The sequence below is a fragment of the Homo sapiens genome, chromosome 2, assembly GCF_000001405.40.
Source record: "Homo sapiens chromosome 2, GRCh38.p14 Primary Assembly".
NCBI classification, from domain to species: Eukaryota; Metazoa; Chordata; class Mammalia; order Primates; family Hominidae; genus Homo; species Homo sapiens.
In genome coordinates this window covers 232,949,833-232,967,887 of record NC_000002.12, presented here as the reverse complement: position 1 = coordinate 232,967,887, position 18,055 = coordinate 232,949,833, and the positions used below count along the sequence as shown (strand labels likewise).

At 45.1% G+C, this 18,055-nt stretch overlaps 1 protein-coding gene across 2 annotated transcripts in view, besides 2 other annotated features; it reads left to right on the top strand.

The window, feature by feature from the left end:
- The window catches only part of NGEF (neuronal guanine nucleotide exchange factor), a 134,556-nt gene that overhangs the window by 45,369 nt on the left and 71,132 nt on the right, over positions 1 to 18,055 (top strand). The gene's annotated exons all lie outside the window — the stretch shown is intronic.
- Positions 8,557 to 8,606: an enhancer, noted in NCBI's record as "active region_17327". NCBI's record gives its function as "activates an Ori minimal core promoter by ATAC-STARR-seq in GM12878 lymphoblastoid cells {active_cell/tissue: GM12878}" and the evidence as "EXISTENCE:reporter gene assay evidence [ECO:0000049][PMID:35858748]".
- Positions 9,646 to 9,735: an enhancer, noted in NCBI's record as "active region_17326". NCBI's record gives its function as "activates an Ori minimal core promoter by ATAC-STARR-seq in GM12878 lymphoblastoid cells {active_cell/tissue: GM12878}" and the evidence as "EXISTENCE:reporter gene assay evidence [ECO:0000049][PMID:35858748]".

Genomic DNA, 18,055 nt, shown 5'->3' with positions numbered 1-18,055 from the left:
CAATCTCTACAAATCCCTGGATGGCTACAGGGAAACTGTATCCCCTGTATCTGCACTGGGGAATTGTGAACCAGGCAACAGAGCAGAATCCTAGGACAAGGTGGGGAGGCAACACTTCCTTCCTGAGGTTGCTTTGCTCATTGATCCTTGATCACACACACACACACACACACACACACACCCCTATTTTATTTGCATGTAATTAGATATTATGGGTGGATTAGGCTGTTCTTGCATTGCTATAAAAAAATACCCGAGGCTGGGTAACTTACAAGAAAAGAGGTTTGCACTTTGGGAGGAAGAGGTAGGAGGATCACATGAGGTCAGGAGTTCAAGACTAGCCTGGCCAATATGACAAAACCCTGTCTCTTCTAAAAATACAAAAATAAGTCCGGGATGGTAGTACATGCCTGTAATCCCAGCTACTTGGGAGGCTGAGGCACGAGAATTGCTTGAATCCAGGAGGCGGAGGTTGCAGTGAGCTGAGATCATGCCACTGCACACCAGCCTGGGCGACAGAGTGAGACTCTGTCTCAAAAAATAATAATAATAATGAAGAAAAGAAGTTTGATTGGCTCACAGCTCTGCAGGCTATACAGGAAATATGGCAGCATCTGCTTCTGTGGAGGCCTCAGGAAGCTTCCGATCCTGGTAGAAGGCAAAAGGAGAGCAGGTGTCTCACATGGCAGGAGCAGGAGCAAGGGAGTGGGGTGAGAGGTGCCACACACTTTTAAACATCCAGATCTCGTGAGAACTCACTATCACGAAGACAGCACAGAGACATGAGGGATCCGCCCCTATGATCCAAACACCTCCCACCAGGCCCCACCTCAGGCATTGGGGATTACATTTAACATGAGATTTGGGTGGGGACAAAAATACAAACTATAGCCATGGACAATTGTTTCCTGCTGTCTCTGATGTGGCTTAAGCCCCAAGAGCCAAGAACAACACTGTAAATATCTGACCATCTACCTGGGACACAACAGAAACAGTGAAGCCACCTTAGCTCCTCACCCGCCTCCCCCCCCACCCTCACTGGAGGGTATCAACAGAAGTGAGAGTAAAAGTAACTGACAACCCGGACCCAAAGCCAGAGCAAGAGTCCAAGGGGCCAAGGAAGGGCCCTGGTAGTAAAGAGAGAAGGAGTCTCAGGACAGTGGCTCTCTGCCAATTGGTACATAAAAATGTTTTAACACAAATATTTCTGCATTTTAACACTAGATGAAAGGGGGAGTGACGGGGCTGGCTACTGGGTTTTGTTTGGGGGAGTTGTCAGGGTGCTGTGAGTTTCCTACCCTTCCCCATGGGAGCCTTTTCCCTTAAGTTAAATGAGGAGGGCTTCAATGGATCTACTTGGAAATCTCTGGAATCTGGGGAACAGGCACCTTGTTCACACCCGGAAACATCTAGCGCTGAACTGGCTGAAGCAGCCTGCAAGGGGAGGAGGGCCAAGGCTGAGCAGGGATTGGGGAAGCATTTACACCGAAGGCAAGGCAGAGAGGCATGATTTCTCAGAGCTAAGTGTGGGTCTCCAGGAAGAGAGCCAGCTGTGAACTGATTTGAAAAGGAGTCTGCCCAAGAGCACTTCCTGCTGGAGTCGAGGCTTAAGAGCTTTGCACATGCCAAGGAATTGTGGTCAGAGACCTCCCGGGAGGCATGTCTAAGGACCCCCACAGGGCCCCACTCTGAGAGCCCAAACAGCAGCTGGGGGGTGGGGAGAATATGGAGCAAGAGGTAGGGGCTTTGGCTGTGGCAGGGTCTGCACCTGGAGAGGGAGAAGCAGACAGTCAGGAAATCGCTTTGGGCTGCTCTCTTTAATACCCAGCGAAAGAGACCATTTGCTTATAACTTCCAAGTAGCCAGCAAAGCTTTGCATGTGGCCTGCCTGAGGTTTCATACAAGACCCATGCAGGTGGTGCCAACCTACAGAGCAGGGTGAAGTGGGGAATCTGGAGGAAGAAATGAGCCCCTTCCTGTTTGTACACCAAGTCCAGCTTGCCCATGAACCTGTGCCCCCTTCTGTCTTGGTGGCTTAGTAAGCACAGTGGTTTTGGTGAGCACATTGATGTTGACTGCCTCCAAAGCAGGAACCGCCAGCTCCACTGTGCCACATGTCGCTATTACATTCTCTGAGCTGGATCTCCATGGCGAGATAAGTCATGATACACCTGCTGTGGAGACATTTTCTAGACAAAAGCCTCCGATGAGCTGTCAGGTTCAGAGGGCTTTGAGTTATTGCTTTTAAAGGTAAAGTCCAAAATATGCATTTCTCCTGGGCATGCTACATTGACCATGGGTGAGCCCTTCCATCTAATGGAAGCTTGTCTGATGTGAGACTCCCGGGGTCCTCACCCACTCTCTGTCATTTGCTCCCGGCTTCTCTTGCTCCATAGCATTCTGAGTCAGGTCTGTCATCCACATAACTGAATCCCTGCTCTTGCCCACATCTCTGTGTCACTGTCTTCTCATACTGGGTCCCTGATGCAAAGTGTCGCGGCTGATTTTGAGCATCTCTGGTTCAGTTTCCATAGTCACCTTCCCAATTTCTTTATCCATTCCTATTGAAGTCCATTTTGCTCTCATACAGCAAAATCATTCTCTGTCTCCTTGCTTGATTTGTGCATAGAAAGGCAGGTTTCATGATCTAAATTTAGCAGAGGAAAAAATACCAACAGCAACGGCAACAACAAAAACCTCTACATGGCACAAAGACTGGTAACAATTAAAGAGAGACTACAGCATTTATCTTGGAAAAGCCCCAAATATTTCATCTCCCTGGTTTGTTTTTGGAATCGTCGCTGTCGTTAGCATATTCATAAAGGTGATTTAAATAATGCTTTATTGAAGGTCATCTTACATTACAATAAAATGTTCAGATCTTGGGTCTGTAGCTTGATGAATTTTTACACAGGTACTACACCTCCTTGACCATCAACTGGACCAAGATATAGAACATTTCCATTGCCCCAAGAGGGCCCCTCAGGGCCCGTTTTCAAGTCAATATCCAACTCTCAGACGTAACCATCTTCTAACATCTATCACCATCAGATTGGTTTTGTTGGTTCACACAACAAATGGGATCACACAGTGTGTACTCTACAGTGTCTGACTTCTGTTGCTCAACATAATATTTTTGAAATTCATCAATATATGTGTACCAGATTGTTCTTTTTGTTCTTTTATTTTATTTTATTTTTGAGACAGAGTCTCACTCTTTCACCCAGGCTGGAGTACAGTGGCAAAATCTCAGTTCACTGCAACCTCCACCTCCCAGGTTCAAGTGATTCTCCTGCCTCCCGAATATGTGGGATTACAGGCACCTGTCACTACACCCAGCTAATTTTTGTATTTTTAGTAGAGACAGGTGTTTCACCATATTGGCCAGGCTGGTCTCGAACTCCTGACCTCAAGGCATCTGCCTGCCTCAGCCTCCCAAAATGTTGGGATTACAGGTGCGAGCCACCGCGCCCGGCCCAAATTATTCTTTTTTATTGCTGAGAGGTATTGCCACAATTTGCTTATCTACCCTTCTGTTGATGGATATTTGAATTGTTTCCAGTTTTCAGCCATTATGAATAAAGTTGCTATGAACATCCTTAGACAATTCTTTTTGTGGATGTATGTACTCATTTCTCTGGGGTGTATACCCAGGAGTGGACTTGCTAGGTCTTAGAATAGGTGTACATTTAAATTTATTAAAAACAGGCAAATAATTTCTCAAAATGGTTGTACTGTTTTACACTCCCACCAGCAAGGCATCAAGGTTCCAGTTGCTCCAGATCCTTGTCAACTCTTGGAATTGTCGGTCTTTGTAATTGTATCTGTCTTACTGTATTGTGGTTTCTCACTATGGTTTTAATTTGCAGTTTCCTGATAACTAAGGATGTTGAACACCTTTTCATATGTTTATTGGCCATTCATGGTGCCTGTTTAAGATGCCTAACCATTTTTTATTTTTTATTATATTTTTAATTTGTAGGAGTTCTCTATATATCTTGAACACAAGTCTTTGCTCACATATGTGTACTGTAAATATTTTCTACTGGCCTGTGACTTACTTGTCTTTTTTTTTGAGATGGAGTCTCTCTCTGTCACCCAGGCTGGAGTGCAGTGGCACGATCTTGGCTCACTGCAACCTTGCCTCCCAGGTTCAAGCAATTCTCCTGCCTCAGCCTCCCAAGTCGCTGGAATTACAGACTCCTGCCACCACGCCCAGCTAATTTTTATATTTTTAGTACAGACAGGGTTTCACCATATTGGCCAGGCTGGTCTCGAACTCCTGACCTCAGGTGATCTGCCTGCCTCGGCCTCCCAAAGGGCTGGGATTACAGACATGAGCCACTGTGCCCAGCCAAGTTTCTTGTCTTTTAATGAGCAGAAATTTTTAATTTTGATGAAGACTAAGTTAGAAATTTTTTTATTGTTTGTCCTTTTATATCCTAAGAAATAGTAGACCACTTTGAAGTCATGAAGATACTCTGCTACGTTTTCTTATAGAAGTTTTAGACTCTTCATTTTCACATTTGGGTCTATGGTCCATATAGATCTCTAGTTGCTCTTGCACTGTTTATTGAGAAAGTTTTCTGTTCCATCAAAGAGCTGCATTGGTACTTTTTTCAAAAGTCCAATGACCGTAGACATGTGGGTCTATTTCTGAACTTTTATTCTGTTTCATTGATCTAATTTTCTATCTTTATGCCACTACCATAGTGTCTTAAATACTGTTGCTTTATGCTTAATCTTAAAATCTGGTAGTGTAAACCCTCCTACTTTGTTCTTATTAAATATAGTCTTGACTATTTTAAATCTTTTGCATTTCTGTACAAATTTTGGAATCGGTTTGTCAATTTCTACCAAAAAAAATTCAGCTAGAATTTCAGTTGAAATTGCATTGTCTCTACAGATAAATTTCAGGTTTAATGCATACGTTAACTAGCTTGACTTAGTCATTCCACAAGGTATGTATATTTCAAAACAACATATTGTATACAATATATACAATTTTTGTCAATTTTTTAAAAAAATTAAGAGATCATTGACACCTGAATATTGGCAACTTAAATTGTTCAAACTATGAACATGTCCTAATCTTTCATTGATGTAGATATTCTTTAAATTAATTCAGCAATGATTTGTAGTTTTTAATGTAAATGTTTTACACATATTTTAAATAAATTTGTTCATAGGTATTTCATCTTTTTTATCCTATTTTAAATGCCAATGTTTTCTAATTTCATTTTTCAATCATTTTTTGGTAGTATGTAAAAATAAAATTAATTTTTGCATGTTCACCTAGTATCCTGTGATCTTAATAAATTCGCTTATTAGCTCTTTTTGAGATGGAGTCTCACTCTATTACCCAGGCTAGAGTGCAGTGGTGCCATCTCGGCCCCCTTCAACCTCCATCTCCTGGGCTCAAGTGATTCTCCTGCCTCAGCTTCCCAAGTAGCTGGGATTACAGGTGCCCACCACCACACCTGGCTAATTTTTGTTGTTGTTGTTGTATTTTTAGTAGAGACAGGGTTTCACCATGTTGACCAGGCTGGTCTTGAACGCCTGATCTCAAGTGGTCCTCCCACCTCAGCCTCCCAAAGTGCTGGGATTACAGGCATGAGCCACTGCACCCAGCCATATTTCTTTCTTTTCAATAGTCACGACTTCTATTTGTTTCTCTTGCCTTATTGCATTGGCAAGGACTTCAATCATAGTGCTGAATAGAAGCAGTGAGAGTAGACACACTTGTCTTATTTCCTGGCCAAGGCTGCTTTGATGACAAAGATCAGAAGCCTACCCGAATTTGCTCAAGTAAAAGAGGGATATTGTAAGGATGCTGGATCCTGGAGACTCCAGGTAGAAGAGATGAAGCCCATCTTTCCATCTTTATAAGAATGAAGAAGCCATCAAAAACCAGAGCCGCTTTATCCTTTTCTTGGGGGCCATGAGGCCCCCTCCTCCCTGTTTCTCTCTGCGGACTGCTCTGTTGTCCTGCTTCTCTGCTTTTCAGCTTGCACTTGACATAAATGGCAGTCATTGCCACAGTGACCATTCATCTCAGCTGGCCACACAGCCACTGGGGACTCTTTTTTGTGTCTCTTAGAGAAAAGGAATTTCTAAGGAAATAATCTGGTTGGGAGCCCAAGGCGGGCAGATCACGAGGTCAGGAGATCGAGACCATCCTGGCTATCATGGTGAAACCCCGTCTTTACTAAAAAAAAATACAAAAAATTAGCTGGGCGTGGTGGCGGGCACCTGTAGTCCCAGCTACTCGGGAGGCTGAGGCAGGAGAATGGCATGAACTCAGGAGGTGGAGCTTGCAGTGAGCAGAGATCGCGCCACTGCACTCCAGCCTGGGCGACAGAGCTAGACTCCATCTCAAAAAATAAAAAATAAAAAATAAAATAATCTGGTTGACCATCCTTGGGTCAGGTGTTTATCTCTGGCTCAAACAGCTAAAAGAGCAGGCAGCAGGATTAATGGGGCCATTCCCACCTCATCAGTGGGAGCTGTGCTTGGGAGAAGTTTTAAATATGTGAAGGCGAGCCAGGCAACCCCAAACATATATAGTGTAGTTAGAGTCTGAGTCTCACACACAAGAGAATGCCGAAAGGGACTTGGGTGAGGTAAGAGCAGAGAATGGAGATAAGAACGGTGGGGGCTAGAGGCAGTAGATTAATGATTTAGAGCCTTCAGAAGCCCAGAATGGACCCAAGAATCAGTTCTTCAGTTTTCAAGATGTGGGATGGTGCTGATGTGGGACATGGGATGTTCTTGGTAGTCAGTGCCCATCCTCACAGAGTTCATCCAAGGCTGCTTTGCAAGTCCTCTTTGGTATACCAACCAGCAGTGAGTCATGGTGAGCTGGGCAGCACGGCAGGAGGAAAGCACAATCATTGCAGAAAGGTGTTCTGTAAAGAGGGGCACAGGAAGCCAACTTACATATGTCAAGCACCTTTACACTCACTGTCTCATTAAATTCTCTGGCCATTATCCCCACATGTTGTTTTTTGAGATGGAGCTTTGCTCTTGTTGTCCAGGCTGGAGTGCAGTGGCGCGATCTTGGCTCACTGCAACCTCTGCCTCCCAGGTTCAAGTGATTCTCCTGCTTCAGCCTCCTAAGTAGCAGGAATTACAGGCATGCACCACCACGTCTGGCTAATTTTGTAATTTTAGTAGAGATGGGGTTTCACCATGTTGGCCAGGCTGGTCTCAAACTTCTGACCTCAGGTGATCCACCCGCCTCAGCCTCCCAAAGTGCTGGGATTACAGGCATGAGCCACCGCTCCAGGCCTAGACTCAATACAGTTTGGTGCCTAGCCTTAAGGCTGCACAGCTACCTAGTGAGACAGCCAGACAGTGAACCCAGGGCCTCTGACTCCACACCCATGACCTCCCCTTTCCAGGCTGCCTGTGAGGTATGGCCAGGGTAATCACGGCTATGAGAAGGAGGGTGTTCCTGTGAATCTGCCCACAGGAGGCAAAGTCCAAAGCCCCCAGTACGTCACTGACTCAGTCCCTTGGGGTCCTCTCAAGTTCAGGTATTGTGTTGGGACTTTATTCCTACAGGCACAAGGTCATGAATCAGGGTTCTAGTCCCAGAAATCATTTCATATCACAAAAGTGCCACATTGCTAAATATATGTATAAGAAAAAAACCTTAATATGTGCTTTTATAAGTTGATATTTAGCATACAAAATTAAGCTACATCTAAAATATGTGGGGCCATTTTTCTGGATAAACTAAGAAAGCATCAGCCTTGTTAAAACATTAGCCCACTGGCCTTCCTCTGTTCCTGGCAATGGCCAGAGGGAATTGCAAAAGTGCATCGCTCCAAGAATGCTCAGCCTGCATTAAACGTGGGAGTCACCTCCAAGGCCAACACTCAGCAGGGACAGCCTGGGACAGCCACACTAAGTGTTAACAGCTCTGCTGTAGCTGGTTGGTGCCATACCTGGTTGTTAAACATTGTGACTATCATCCATGGATCCACCTAAAAAATGGCCATTGTTACCCAGGGCGGTGGCTCACGCCTGTAATCCCAGCACTTTGGGAGGCCGAGGCGGGCAGATTACCTGAGGTTGGGAGTTCAAGACCAGCCTGACCAACATGGAGAAACCCCTTCTCTACTAAAAATACAAAATTAGCCAGGCATGGTGGCGCGTGCCTGTAATCCCAGCTACTCGGGAGACTGAGGCAGGAGAATCACTTGAACCCAGGAGACAGAGGTTGTGGTGAGCCAAGATTGCGCCATTGCACTCCAGCCAGGGCAAAAAGAGTGAAGCTCTGTCTTAAAAAAAAAAAAAAAAAGGTCATTGCTGTGGAATCGCCCATTGCCACCAATGGCTCATGTACAGCATGGCGAGTCTTCAAGTGCTGATGCTGGGCAATGTCCCATTTCCACACTGTTCCTTGTATGTATTTCTATGAAAATGTACAAGTTGCATGTTCAGTAAGCCTGGGGCAGCTTGTCAGGTGTTTATTGAAGCTAGCTTGGGTTGTTCTGTGAGAGTGTCTAAACACAGGGACAAGCACTGGGTAAAACAGGAACTGAAGAAACGTGGCCCGACTCTAATCAAGCCTGCAGCTCTAACCAGGAATTTACAGGAAACACCGGGGAGAGAGGAACAGGTTAAACAACACCATGCAGGCACAGTCATAAAATCCAAACAGGATAAATGCCCCAATTTCTCAAGGGGAAAACTGCAAAGAGAAAAACAAGAAAGAAAGGAAGCAATTAAAAGAGACTGAAGAAATATCAATGGATTGCATTATACAGACTCTATCTGAATCTCTTTTAAAACACACTGTGGGGAGGGGGTGTTTGAGCCAATATTTGATCATGTTAAGAGATTATTGATAATCTCTTTAGGCATGCTAATGGTATTGTAGTTATTTTTAACCTATATTTAACCTCAATATCTTTTAGAAATACAGTCTGAAATATTTTGGATGAAGTGATATGACGTCTGGGATTTGCTTCAAAATAATCCAGGCCTGGGGAGGAGTGGGTGGGAGTGGAGAAGAAAGACTGGCCGTGAGATGAGAACTCTTGAAGCTGGGTGATGAATATTGGGGGAATTAATTATACTTTTCTGTCTATTTCAGTATATGTTTGAAATTTTCCATAATGAAAACTTTAATTTTTAATATGTTTATTTTTTTAAAGCTTGTTTTTTAAAATACAAAAAGACAGGAGCTTGAGTATAGAGACCCTTCAGTCTTGCCCACCCAGTTCCAGTCTCCTTTTCCGGGAGGTTGGCAGAATCATCAGCTCTTACCATTGACCATGGTGGCCCAGGTAGCATTAAGCTCCTCAAACATAGGACCATGCCAAGTTTTGTTGCTTCCTGAGCAATTGGCACAGTGCAACACACCAGAAGGCCTCAATACTTGCAAATGATTGATGAATGAGTAAATGCATGCATGCCGACTCCCGGGCAGAAGCTGAGATCTAGGAGCTCAACCACTGACCTCTTGAAGATACACCTGTGCAGACTGGTCCAGAAGTATCCTGGGACTGTGCAGACCAAGGCTCTTGCAAAGAGGTCACAATGTCACCAGGATAGATGAACACTCCGTGCAGCTCTAGCAGAAGTACAGTATCTCTACCTCAGAGGGGTTTTCCTGCCCGGCTGCCTTTTGGTGATAACCCATTTCTCCACCTCCCCTAGTAATATAGGAGACCAAGTACCCTCAGCAATAAAAATACAAATGGAGCATCATAAATTAGTTTCCTCTCTGGCATCCCTCGCTTGGGTGCTAGCTGAGGTCCCATCACTGGCCTCCTAGTTCTGCAAAACAAAGGACACTAGAGCATCGGAAGGATCTCAGGCTACTTGGACACGGTGACTGAAGAGAGGTTTGAATTTTCTATCTGTGAAACCGTTTCTATTTTTACACTGTCTCAGAACAAATATAACTGTGACTTATGTTTCACAGTTTATGCAGCTAATTTCATATACTTTTGACAGCTCTATCTTATTTTCAGCAGTTCTAAATGTTTTTCCCCTTTGAGAAGTTGAAGGGGCATATCCCACACCTCTCCATGGAGAGATGACTGGGCTGCAGGGCAGGTGGTTCTAGGTGTGACACTGGAGGAGGACACAGTCCCAGCTCTCCCTCCCCTCCTGGGCAGAGGCCCACACCCAGAGGTGACCAGACAGGTGCAGAAACTTGCATGTGACTCAGATCTTATGGGATCACATGGACTGTCTCTGGGACTTATGACTACTTTCACATTTAACATTAATATTAGTAATAACTGAGCTGGGCATGGTTGCTGACACCTGTAATCCCAGCACTTTGGGAGACCGAGGCGGGCAGATCACCTGAGGTCAGGAGTTCAAGACCACCCTGGCTAACATGGCAAAACTCTGTCTCTACTAAAAATACAAAAATTAGCCTGGTGTGGTGGCGGGTGCCTGTAATCCCAGCTACTTGGGAGGCTGAGGCAGGAGAATTGTTTGAACCTGGGAGGCAGAGGTTGCAGTGAGTCCAGATTGCGCCACTGCACCCCAGCCTGGGAGACAGAGTGAGACTCCATCTCAAAATAATAATAATTATTAGTAGTAGTAATAATAATAATAACAGCAACAACAGGCTCTGGGGGCCTGAGCTTGAACTGTGGATTTTCTCTACCTGTAATTACATCTTTAGTTTTTAAACTCTTGACATCTTCTCCCTTGTTAAATTGCCCATTTAGATTTATTTTGCCTTATTTTGGTTATTCTAGCTTATCGTACTTATTCTTTTAATTTTCAATCTTCCTTACTTTGCCCTTTTACCTTCCTTCTTATTTTCTATTTTAATCACCTTTTAAATGTTCTCCCTTTGTGTTTTAGCTTTATCATAATTACCACTATTAAAATTCAGCACTTCTGGCTTTAATTCTTAATGCCAAATCTTTTTTCCCCCTTTAATTCTCTTTTTATCTTCCTATTTAAATTCCTAAGCTTCTGGGGCAGGGTTGGTCTTGGATTTACTGTTTTATTTCCTATTTCTTTTTAGCCATTGTCCTTCTTATGCGCTTTTATTTTGTTTACTTGACTGTTTATAACTGTAACTTTTCAGTAACCTAATTTTTTTTTTTTTTTTTTTTTTTTTTTAGATGGAGTCTTGCTCTGTCGCCCAGACTGGAGTGCAGTGGCACAATCTCAGCATCTCAGCTCACTGCAACCTCCACCTCCTGGGTTTGAGCGATTGAGCAATTCTCCTGCCTCAGCCTCCCAAGTAGCTGGGATTACAGGCACCTGCCATCATCCCCAGCTACTTTTCGTATTTTTAGTAGAGACGGAGTTTCGCCATGTTGGCCAGGCTGGTCTCGAACTCCTGACCTCAGGTATCCGCCCACCTCGGCCTCCCAAAGTGCTGGGATTACAGGTGTGAGCCACTGTGCCCAGCCTAATTCTGGTTCTTAAACTCCTATTTTATTGGTTCTATCAATACTTTATGGATAATATTAGTTAACTGTTTCTTCTGTTAGTCACAATCTTATATTGCAGCCAAATCTTTTTCTAATTCTTTTGAATTCTTAATGTAAGATGTTTACCTTATGGGCTGGCTCTGGGGAGGTGGTGAAAGCAGGGACTGATGGACCCATAAGCTTGTTTCTCTCAAATTCTCTCAAAACCCCACCTGTTCTGACCTTAGCAGGGCCCAGCCAGGTCCCTTCAGGGACAACCACTCAGAGTGGTTGAGCCCTGGATCCTCTTTATAGCAGCATGTGGCCTCGGGTAAATAAATCTTTGCTCTCCTCAAGCCTCAATTACCTCATATTTACAAGGAAAGGAGCGGCGTCTGAAACCAGCAAACACAGTAGACAGGGTCCAGCACATACAAGCACATGCTAAACTGCAGTCACGTTTGGGGGAGATTGAGGAAGGATATGTACAATACAGTTTCATTTCTGCAAAATTCAAAAACACGCCAAACTAACAAGGTAGCCAGCCCAAGATGCAAACCCTTCATCTAATATTAGAAAACACCAGAGAAGTCCCAATTGAGAAACATTCTGCAAAATATATTGGTCTGAAATCTTCACGAGTGTCAGAGTCACAAAACCAAGCAAAGGTCCTGCTTGGTGGCTCACGCCTATAATCCCAGCACTGTGGGAGGCCGAGGCGAGTGGATCACTTGAGGTCAGGAGTTCAGGACCAGCCTGGCCAACATGGTGAAACCCCGTCTCTACTACAAGTACAAAAATTAGCCAGATGTGGTGGCACATGCCTGTAATCCCAGCTACTCGGGAGGCTGAGGCACAAGAATTGCTTGAACTCAGAAGGTGGAGGCTGCGGTGAGATCGCACCACTGCACTCCAGCCTGGGCAACAGAGCGAGATTCTGTCTCAAAAACAAACCAACCAGCCAACAAACAAAAACAAGCAAAGACTGAAGAACTGCTCCCAGTTTAAGGACAGCAAAGAGCTGATCAGCAGGCTGCCATGATGATCCTAGACTGGGTCTTTTTACTCTAAAGGACATCATAGCAGACAATAGCAAAAAGCTGAATGGAGTCTGAGGGTCATTGGTGATACTATTTCAAAGCTGACTTCCTGGTTTTGATGGTTGTGTTTGGGTTATATAGGAGCTAGTCTTGGTCTAGAAAATACACACTGAAGTATTTGGGGATGATGGGATGTCAGGTCGGCAGCTGACCCTCCAACGGCTCAGGAAAAGTTTCTAAAAAGTTATTTGTACTGTACTTTACTTGCAATTTTCAGTATTCTTTTAAAATGTAAAAAACAATTAATATCTTGAAGGAAAAAAGACTGCAAGCTCTGGAGGGAGACTCCCAGACTTGACCTTAGGCAGGTTATTTCGGCTTTCTCTGCCTCAGTGTCCTCATCTTAAGTTGGGGAGAGTTAGAATATGAATAGGCGTATTACGAAGAAAAAGTAAGCTGTTATCCGTAAAGTGCTGAGAACAGTGATCGGCCCCCAACGTGCGTGACCTGTTACTATGTCTCGATGGTTGGAAAGTGTCCTCACCACAGGCCCTTTGCACCTGCTGTTCCCCCACCCACACTGGTGCCTGGATAGTTTCTATTCATCCTTCAGTTCTCATTTAGCTTCTTCTGCAAAGCCTTCCTCAACCTGCCACCCTTCCTTCATGCTTCCTGCCTCAGATGGCATTAGGAGCTCCTCTCTTTTTTTTTTTTTTCTTTTGAGACGGAGTCTCGCTCTATCACCCAGGCTGGAGTGCAGTGGCGTGATCTCGGCTCACTGCAAGCTCTGCCTCCCAGGTTCACTCCATTGTCCTGCCTCAGCCTCCCGAGTAGCTGGGACTACAGGCACCTGCCACCACGCCTGGCTAATTTTTTGTATTTTTAGTAGAGACGGCGTTTCACCGTGTTAGCCAGGATGGTCTCGATCTCCTGATTTCACGATCCGCCTGCCTCAGCCTCCCAAAATGCTGGGATTACAGGTGTGAGCCACTGCGCCCGGCTGGAACTCCTCTCTTAAGCTCCCACAGCATCCTACAATATCTCATCACCTAGATTAAAATGTCATTTTCTGGCAACTTATCCATCTTTTCTATTAGACAATAACTCCAGGGCTGGGCTGGTATCTTATTCACTGTCATATCCCCAGGCCTAAGACAGTTAATGAATGAATGAAAGCCTGGATACCCACCTCCCCTGTCAGAGAGAATAGAATAAAGCACCCTCCTTTAAGTCAAGGGTGTGATTCCAGGGCCCAGCTTGAGAGGGCTCCATTCACAGGGTCATCTATGTAAAAGATACCCCCGTAGTTGGACAGTGCACACCCTGAACTGCCTGACACTGCAGCCCTGACTCTCAACACAGCTCCCTCGGTAGACATTCGGCTCTGTTATCCTCACGCCAATAGGAAGAAAGGATTTTTTTATAGTTAGTGGCTCTAAAACAAAAATTGTTATTTTTGGCAAATGCTTCACCCCTGCAAACTTGAGGTGTCATTCATTTATGAGTTCATTCATTTAACAAATACTTATCAATCACCTCCACTGTCCTGAGTGCCGGTTTCTATCAGAAAATGTCTTATCTGGTGGCTCAAGGAGACATTTAGCCACCGCTTCCCCGGCAGCTTCCCAGGAAGCTCCAGTGCACCAAAGCTGGTGTTCCAGGGGCCTATTCCTGGACCTTAGTTTTGTGGCCCCTCTGCGTTCCTCCTGGAAAACGCTCCCGGGCCCCAGTCACCTCAGTTATGCTCCATAGAAGAAACCGCATACATCCTGGAGCACCAGAACTGCTTTTCTGGGAGAAGACCCCGGCTCTGGGCAGATCTCCCCCTAGGCAGGCAGCCAGGATACAGAAGATTTTGATCCCATTTCCTAATTTTCATAAAGGAATGTATATCAGTGTCATCAACAATGTATGTTAAACTTTTTCTTTTTTTTTTAAAAAAAAAAAGAATGTAAGTCAACTATCTTCTGGCTTTTTTTTTTATTTTTTGAGCATGTTGGTTGTGTAGGAGTAGCTGTCTCATTTATTAAAACTGAACAATATCAACAGGCAGACACACTGGTCACTTTTCTCTCTCTCTCTTTCTTTCTTTCTTTCTCTCTTTCCCTTTTTTTCTTTCTTTTTCTTTTTTTTTTTTTTTTTTTGACACAGAGTCTCGCTCTGTAACCCAGGCTGAAGTGCAGTTGTGTGATCTCAGTTCCTTGCAACTTCTGCCTCCTGGGTTTCAGCGATTCTCCTGCTTCAGTCTCCCCACTAGCTAGGATTACAGGCACGCGCCACCACACCTGGCTAATTTTTGTATTTTTAGTAGAGACAGGGTTTCACCATCTTGGTCAGGCTGGTCTCGAACATCTGACCTCGTGATCTGCCCACCTTGGCCTCCCAAAGTGCTGGGATTACAGGCGTGAGCCACTGCGCCTGGCCCCAATCACTTTGCTTTTTTGTTGTTTTTTTTTTTTTTTTTTTTTTTTTTTTGAGGGCTGTCTCACTCTTGTCTGCACTCTTGTTGGAGTGCAGTTGTGCGATCTCGGCTCACTGCAACCTCTGCCTCCGGGTTCAAGTGATTCTCCTGCCTCAGCCTCTGGAGTAGCTGGGATTACAGGTGACTGCCACCACACCCAGCTAATTTTTGTATTTTTTAGTAGAGATGGGGTCTCACCATATTGGCCAGGCTGGTCTCGAACTCCTGACCTCAGGTGATCCGCCTGCCTCGGCCTTCCAAAGTGCTGGGATTACAGGCGTGAGTCACTGCGCCCGGCTCACTGATCACTTTTCAAAGGTAGATTATTCAAGACAGTCAGAAAATAGATACCCCCAAAATATTGTTTAGTAAATAATAACACTTCCATGTAGAAATTGATATGTGGAGTTAAACAGATCTAAGATGAGAAAAATGTAGTAATCACTGTTAGGATAATCAATATCTCTATTAAAAGGCACTTGCTGCTCTTATAGATCATCTTCCAGAAATCCTGGAACTCACATCTACTGGTAGAGAAAACAATGTTCAAGAAAATGAAGTGAATGGCAATGAGCCAAAAAGTTCCTCAACTTCCTAAGTATTATCCTAACTCTACAAGGTTGCCAGGAGAAATCAATGAAAGAACGCATTTAAAATGGTTCTTGCCACGTAGGTGCTCTATAGATATCTGTTGGAGTCTGAATTTCCTCTACAATTCTTGCATCAAAATGATTCTTAAGTATTGTCCTTGGAATTTATATCCATATTCCCAGTTCCCACTGATATTACTCAGGCTTTATATCTGAAGATCCGCCTGAGTCACCATGCAGGGCGAGTACATACCAGGTCTCTGCCTGAGGCATGACCCTCACCCCGTCTCCAACAGAGCCCTGCTAAGACGGCTTGAAGGCTTTACAGCCCATTTATCCTTTTGATGATCTGCGTTTTATCCCTGGACCACACCACGCCTTCCTAGGGCTGTGTGCTTGGACTTCACCATTTTGTACTTTCCCTTTGCCCTTCAACTGTGGCAGAAACGTCTCCACTGAGCTGTATTTTGATAGCATGCCCCTGGCTTATGTTAAGAAATGCTATAAAAAAAAAATAAACCTGCCACTCAAAATTCCCTGTTACATTGACTATAGCAGTACCATTGAGCATGTCATTCTGCATGCAGTACAAGAACCCATGGGAGAAATTACTGGTTTTGCTCCTAAACAACATGTTGGGATTTCTTTTGCACAGGAGGAATGGGGAGGGGTTTCAGACTGCAGAGACAAAAAAGAGCAAGCGATGTGCACTGAGGAATCCTGGCGGTTCCTAGGTGCAGCCAAGCCCTAAAAGGAAGTGTGAAACATCTCTGATTCCCTTTCTGTCTCTGACATGGGTAATTGGCGCTGGCGGCCCCTAAAGCCTGACACTGCCGGTCACGCAATTGTAAAACCTCCAAATTAGGACCTCGACTCCACAGTGTAGAATAATAGCATGCTCCATTTTTGCCAAGTTTAATTACTCTGCCAAGACTCAGGTCTTCCCAGGTTGCAAATTCACGTGTCTGCAGAGAGAAGGTTGTCGTGCCTTGGACTGGGGAGACAGCTAAGAATCTGTGGGTGCGCAGCATCAGTGGGATGGCTGGATCCGAGTTCAAGGCAGAACATCAAATGACAGGTGGCTCGCTTTACAGAGGGAGGAGTGATATGGAAAGGGGACCTCAGGAGGTGCCAGGGATGATGCACATCTGAAAAGCCCTAGACATCGAGGTAGCGCGTGGCCACCAGAGAGGCTAAAGGCAGAATGGTCCTGGTGTCTGTCCATCTGGGAGCTGTTGTTCCGGTGAGTGCCACACTCACAAAATGGGGCAGTGGCACTGGTTGTCTTCACACCTTTCCTAGCAAAAAGCTGAAGGTGCCGGCCTCTAAGGCAGCCCACTGATTGCTTCAAGTCAGGAACAGCCAGCCGCATGCCGGACGCCGCTGGGTCTGAGGCCTGATCATCTGTCAGGGCTTGGAGATACTGGATGCTTAATAGCCACGCATTGAATAAATAAATTACTGAGCGGTTGGCAGTTAATGTACATTCATCAGCTGTTCCCCTTCCATGTTTTTTTTCTGAAGCATGTGGTGAAGTCAACCATATGTTAGCGAAAAAGACACAGACAAGGCAAGTCTGGCTTGGAGGGTTTCAGATCAAACTCTCAGACAGGGGTTGAGAGACAGGCAGTGGTGAGGGGACCTCCTGGAAGTGACCTGAAGTCACAGCAACTGTTCAGGACTGAGGAGCCTTCTTGCTCCCACCCAGTCCATGTGCACCTGGAATGGGGTATGCCCAAGGCCCAAGAGGAGGCTTTGCCCTTTGGTAGCCTTTTCTGGAAAATCAGAACACTGCTGTCTTGCCTGCCTGAAGGCAGGGGTGGACCAAAGGCCCTGGGAGGCTCCTCTCTGCCCCAGATCCTGGTCTCCTGGGTCAGTGAGAGTGACGGAGAGTCAAAACACCCATCACACAGTCCAGGGGCAAAGGGGGGTTGGGATTTGGGGGTGGGGGGTCCCACTGCCACACTCAGCACCTATCAGCCTATCACTGATATTTGATCTACAAATCCTTTAGAAAGAAGTTCCTTTTCCACAAAGCGGCCCTTGTTAAAACATATACATATCCTCATACCAATAACACCGCAGGCTGTATTCACAAATCAGTTAGAGAAACACAAGCATTGCTGAAATTAAAACCAGCAAAACTCATGAAGAGATCATTCATAAAGAAAGAATATAAAAACACAATTAACCAAAAAAATAAACTTCACTAGTAAAGAAAGAAATGTAAACTATAATGACAACATTTTTCATCCATCAAACTGGTACTTTAAAAATATTTCTGGCTGGGTGCAGTGGCTCATGCCTGTAATCCCAGCACTTTGGGAGGCCGAGGCTGGTGTATCACCTGAGGTCAGCAGTTTGAGACCAGCCTGGCCAACATGGTGAAACCCTGTATCTGCTAAAAATACAGAAATTAGCCGGGCATGGTGGTGGGCACCTGTAATCCCAGCTACTCGGGAGGCAGAGACAGGAGAATCACTTGAACCCAGGAGGTGGAGGTTGTGGTGAGCCGAGATGGCACCACTGCACTCCAGCCTGGGCAACAAGAGTGAGACTTCA